The 6,000-nt window shown below is 48.6% G+C and overlaps 1 annotated feature.

Moving 5' to 3' along the window:
* Positions 1,904 to 3,103: an enhancer, noted in NCBI's record as "BRD4-independent group 4 enhancer chrX:3650386-3651585 (GRCh37/hg19 assembly coordinates)". NCBI's record gives its function as "activates an origin of replication core promoter dependent on BRD2, P300/CBP, MED14 and CDK7 cofactors, and independent of BRD4, by STARR-seq in HCT116 cells {active_cell/tissue: HCT116}" and the evidence as "EXISTENCE:reporter gene assay evidence [ECO:0000049][PMID:35650434]".

A 6,000-nucleotide genomic window follows, 5' to 3' on the forward strand; every position in this document is an offset into this window, starting at 1 on the left:
TCAAATTCTTAAGTCTCCCTGACACACACACACACACAAAAATTAAAGCTTTAAGTGTTTTGTATTTTCCATTTAAAAGGCATTTTCTGGCTGGGCGCGGTGGCTCATGCCTGTAATCTCAGCATTGGGAGGCCTAGGTGAGTGGATCACTTGAGTCCAGGAGTTGGAGACCAGCCTGGCCAACATGGCAAAACCCGGTCTCTACTAAAAATATAAAAAATTAGCCAGGCATGGTGGCGAGGCTGTAATCCCAGCTACTCGGGAGGCTGAGGCAAGAGAATCACTTGAACCCGGGAGGCGAAGGTTGCAGAGAACCGAGACCATGCCACTGCATTCCAGCCTGGGTGACAGAGCAAGATTGTTTCTCGAAAATAAAATCTTTAAAAAGGCATTTTCTGATTCAACTGTTGTCTACATTCTCTGGCAAGTGATAGAGAAAATTACACAAACATTTTTATCTTTGGACAAGAAGATCTAAAATACAACATTTAGCCAAGAGAAGTGAAAACAGAGGAATTTCGGACAGCTCGCCTCCTTACATGTGGCACTAACTTCCCCGCTTGTGAAATCACTATCTCATAATCCAGGATCTCACAACCTCAGCACTGTGGACATTTGGGGTTGTTGGGGGGTCTCTGTGGCGCGGCGATCCTGGTCACAGTAGCCCCCTTGTTATTCTCTTGACCAACATCCCTGAGATCTACCCACCAGATTCAGGTAGCCGCGCCCCCCCTTCCATAGTTGTGACAATCAAAATGTCTCCAGACACTGACAGAGGCCCCCTGGGGCAAAATCACCCCCAGTTGTGAATAATTGCTCTAATCCAAATAAATGAGAATAATGTTCAATCTATCTGAAAATCATAAATTCTGACAAACAGCTATTAATTAAGACAATGGAAATATGATGTATACATATAATAGAATCTTATTCAGCATTTAAAATGAAAGGAAATTGGCCAGGCACTGTGGCTCACGCCTGTAATCCCAGCACTTTGGGAGGCCGAGGTGGGTGGATCACCTGAGGTCAGGAGTTTGAGACCAGCCTGGCCAACATGGTGAAACCCCATCTCTACTAAAAATACAAAAAAATTAGCTGGGCGAGGTGGCGTGCGCCTTTAATCCCAGGTACTCAGGAGGCTGAGGCAGGAGAATTACTTGAACCTGGGGGGCGGAGGGTGCAGTGAGCCAAGATCACGCCACTTCACTCCAGCCTGGGCAAAAGTGAAACTCTGGCTCAAAAATAAATAAATAAAAGGAAATCCTAAGAAATGCAACCACACGACTGAACCATGAGAACCTTGTGCTGAGAGAAGGAAGCCAGGCACGGAAAGACAAATACTGCAGGATTCTATTCACATGAGGCACCTAAGAAATGGTACCCACAAAAATGGTTCCTTTCATTTTGTGCTAAGCCTTATGTCACGGGGGATATAAACAGCATGTCCAGTGTTTAACAAGCCTAAGAGATGCAGAAGGCCCAAGGGCAGGTACAGTTCACAAAGAGGGGGATGGTCTGTAAAAGATTAGGTGAACATTTTTTTTTTTTAGACGAAGTCTCACTTTGTCACCCAGGCTGGAGTGCAGTGGTGCAATCTTGACTCACCGCAACCTCCACCTCCCGAGTTCAAGCGATTTTCCTGCCTCAGCCTCCCGAGTAGCTGGGACTACAGGTGCTCGCCACCATGCCCAGCTAATTTTTGTATTTTTAGTAGAGACGGGGTTTCTTCATATTGGCCAGGCTGGTCTTGAACTCCTGACCTCAGCTGATCCACCCGCCTCTGCCTCCCAAAGTGCTGGGATTACAGGCATGGGCTACCATGCCCGGCGTAAGCACCTGTGTATTTCGTGTTTTTGATTTTTTTTGAGACAGGGTCTTTCTTGCTCTGTTGCCCAGGCTGGGGTGCAGTGGCATGATCTCGGCTCACTACGACCTCTGCCTCCCAGGCTCAAGAGATTCTCCCACCTCAGCCTCCTGAGTAGCTAGGTCCTTACAGTTATTTCTTGATTATACGCTAAACAAGGGGTGGATTATTCATGAGTTTTCCAGGAAAGGGATGGGCAATTCCCAGAACTGAGGGTTCCTCCCCTTTTTAGACCATATAAGGTAACTTCCAGGTATTGCTGTTGCAGGACTTTCTCCTTAGTTCAGATAAAAGCCAGGTTCTTGCCACATGGCCATGATTAGGCTCGCAGACATTTTGAAGAGTGAGAAAAATGGAATTTATTGGGCAAAAAGGAAAAAAAGAGAAACAGGGACTCTCAGCAAAGCGAGAGTCCCCGCTAGCTGGTCTCCCCCTCACAGATTGAATCCTGGATTCCACCTGAAACAGAAGAGGCCAGTCTCCTCCCCGCTGCAAAGGGCGTGAACTCCGTGGCTCCAGCCCATTTTCCCAGTGCCCGCACAGTGGTTGGAGTTTCTCCGGGGACCGCTTTATACTTGACTGTCTCATTGCCATGGCATTTGTCAACTGTCGTGCTGCTGGTGGGAGTGTCTTTTAGTGTGCTAATGTATTATTATTAGTGTATAATGAGCCATGAGGATGACCAGAGGTCACTCTTGTCACCATCTTGGTTTCGGTGGGATTTGGCCGGCTTCTTTACTGCATGCCATTTTATCCGCAAGGTCTTTATAACCTGTATCTTGTGCCGACCTCCTGTCTCATCCTGTGACTAAGAATGCCTAGCCTCCTGGGAATGCCACCCAGTAGGTCTCAGCCTTATTTTACCCAGCGGCTACTCAAGATGGTTCAAATGCCTCTGACAGTGGGATGGAGCAGGTTCTCCCTTTGTAAGGGCCTGAGGGCCCATGAAGCATGGAAGTAAAGACAAATCTTGAGTTCCTTCAAAGAAAATTCCAGGCACCTGGATGGCCACGAGAAGTCAATGAGCAACTCGGTAAGTAAAAAGGTAATGGTAGCTTAAAACAACAGCCGAGGAAGCTAGAGTCATGAGATGCTTGGCTTTCTATGGGAACGAAAGATAGCATCTTAGCATACGTCCCCGAGCTGTTTTTCAGGAACCCAGACCCCACCAATCGGATCTGCTGGCACGGACCTCAGGTAAGGGGAACTGAGGACTGAACTCTGACCAATGTACTTTGTTCTAAATTCCTTCCTGAGGGGCCTGGAGGAGGTCATGCCCACAGACCAGAGCTAACAGTTTTTTTCTTTTGTCTCTAGACTTTTAAACAAAGCTTCCCTTCCTTAACCCATCACAAATCAGAGAATCTTTGAATCTACCTATGTCCTGCGGGTCCCCCTTGCTTCGAGATGTTCTGCCTTTTTAGGTCAAACCACTATATAACCTCCCTATATTGCTTTATAACTTTGCCTGTAACCTCTGCCTCCCACCTTGAAAAACCCTCACCTGTAATCCATTGGGGGAGGGTGGGGCTGTTTTTTTTTTTTGAGATGGAGTCTCGCTCTCTCCCCCAGGCTGGAGTTCAGTGGCGCGGTCTTGGCTCACTGCAAGCTCCGTCTCCTGGGTTCACGCCATTCTCCTGCCTCGGCCTCCCGAGTAGCTGGGACTACAGGCGCCCGTCACCACTCCCGGCTACTTTGTTTTTGTATTTTTAGTAGATTAGTAGAGACAGGGTTTCACCTTGTTAGCCAGGATGGTCTCGATCTCCTGACCTCGTGATCCACCCACCTCAGCCTCCCAAAGTGCTGGGATTACAGGCGTGAGTCACCGTGCCCGGCCTTTTTTTTTTTTTTTTTTTTTTTTTTGAGACAGAGTCTTGCTCTTTTGCCCAGGCTGGAGTGCAGTGGTGCCATCACAGCTCACCACAGCCCCAACCTCCCAGGCTCAAGTGGTCCTCTTGCTTCACCCTACTGAGGACCTGGGACTACAGGAGTGTACCACCACGCTCAGCTAATTCTTTAATGATTTGTAGAGACAGGGTCTTAGTATTTTGCCCAGGCTAGTCTTAAACTCCTCGGCTCAAGTGATCCACCCACCTTGGCCTCCCAAAGTGCTGGAATTACAGGCATGAGCTGCCTTGCCCAGCTAGGAGGTCAGGTCTTAAGCATGAGCTGCATGATTCTCCTTGCTTGGTACCCTACAAATACATGCCCTCCTTTCTCACGCTGCAAACCTTGGTGTAGATGTTTGGCCTTACTGTGCTGGGCCACACCTTCAGAAGGAACCAACCCCACCGACACTTTGATCTCAGACTTCTTCTGGCCTCCAGAACTGTAAGAACAGTAAGTTTCTGAGGTGGAGCTCACCCAGCCTGTGGTACTTGGTGAAGGCAGCCGTGAGAAATGCATACAGCTCATTTGCACAAAAGGCAGAGAGTTTGAATCATTTGTAGAACTGGAGATGGGGCTTCCTCCAGGTGGAACTGCTTGTGAAAGTTAGAGGTGTAGAAAGGAGAGAGGGCATTTGCGGGTGTCTTTGTGAGTGATGCTAAGGACAGATATTAAGGAAGACAGTTGCAGAGACAAACTACTCACAAGACATGAGGAAGTTAAAAAGGCAAAGGATGATAAGAGTTCATTTTCCACAAAAGAGTCAGACTCAGATTTTTTTTTTTTGAAATAGGGTCTCCCTCTGTCTCCCAGGCTGGAGTGCAGTGATGCGATCACAGCTCACTGCAGCCTCGAATACCTGTGCTCAAGCAATCCCCCTGCCTCAGCCTCCCAAAGTGCTGGGATTACAGGCGTGCACCACTGCATACAGCAGAGATTCAGAATATAGTGGGAACTGGAGTCCCAGGTCCTCCATGGAGTTGCTGGAGGCCAGCTATCGGGCAAGCTGCAGATCCCATGGAGATGGCTGAGGGCACGTTTGGCAATTTTACATTCTAGGTCATCTCAGCCATGTGATGGGAAAAGGCTTCAGTCCCAGCAGATCACCAGGATTGGCCTTCACGGAGCGGAGGGCTGGAGAGTTGAGGATGAGAAGTGAATGTAGGGCTGTGTCAAGGGGAAGTAGAAATCCATGATGCTATTCTTTAAAATCCTGAAGTTGGCCAGGCGGGGTGGCTCATGCCTGTAATCCCAGCTCTTTGGGAGGCCGGGGTGGGCAGATCACTTGAGGTTATGAGTTCGAGGCCAGCCTGGCCAACATAGCAAAACCCCATCTCTACTAAAAATATACACGCACAAAAAAAATTAGCCAGGCATGGTGGCACACACCTGCAATCCCAGGTGCTTGGGAAGCTGAGGCATGAGAACATAGTGAGACCCTGTCTGTACAAAAATTAAATTTAAAAAAATTAGCTACAAGTAGTGATGTGTGGCTGTAGTCCCAGCTACTCAGGAGGCTGAGTGGGGAGGATCATTTGAGTCCACGAGTTGGAGGCTGCAGTGAGCTATGATGGTGTCACTGCACTCCAGCCTGGGTGACAGTGAGACCCTGTCTCTAAATAAACAAACAGAAAAATGATACTGTGTCTCAACAATTGACAAAACAATTACACTGTATTAGGTATTATAAGTAGAGATGGCTTAAAGTGTATGGGAGGATATGCCTGGGTGATATGCAGATACTGCATCGTTTGCTACAAGGGGCTTGAGCATCCTTGGATTTTGATATCAGTGGAAGTCCGAGAACCAACTCCCTGAGGATATTGAGGGCCAGCTGCACACACAGATGAGAAGGAATTAGGCCACTCAGTCAGTCTTCTCCGAAAGAAGTCTTTGTTCTGCCAAAAAGACAAAGCCGGTGTGTTCTCAGGCTGGCAAGACCCTCCCACTTCTCTCCCTCGGGGAGAGCAGACCTGGGTACCTACCACCTTTGAGTTGATGTTCTCTGCCTATAGCCCTTCCCCAGGGCTCTCTGCCCCAGCCCCCTCCTCCTCCAAGCCAGCACAGGCCATGCACCCCCTCCTCTGCGCAGAAGAGCCTGGGATGCAGGGGGAACAGTCAGAGAATAGTCTAAACCACGTGCAAAAATGCAGGCCTGGTGACTTCTGCCCCTTGGGGCGGTCTTCCCACATGGGACTGTTTGTGCCATGTTTGGTCTTTTACCCATGTGGTTGGAGATACTTTGAGTA

This window comes from Homo sapiens, chromosome X (genome assembly GCF_000001405.40).
Source record: "Homo sapiens chromosome X, GRCh38.p14 Primary Assembly".
NCBI classification, from domain to species: domain Eukaryota; kingdom Metazoa; phylum Chordata; class Mammalia; order Primates; family Hominidae; genus Homo; species Homo sapiens.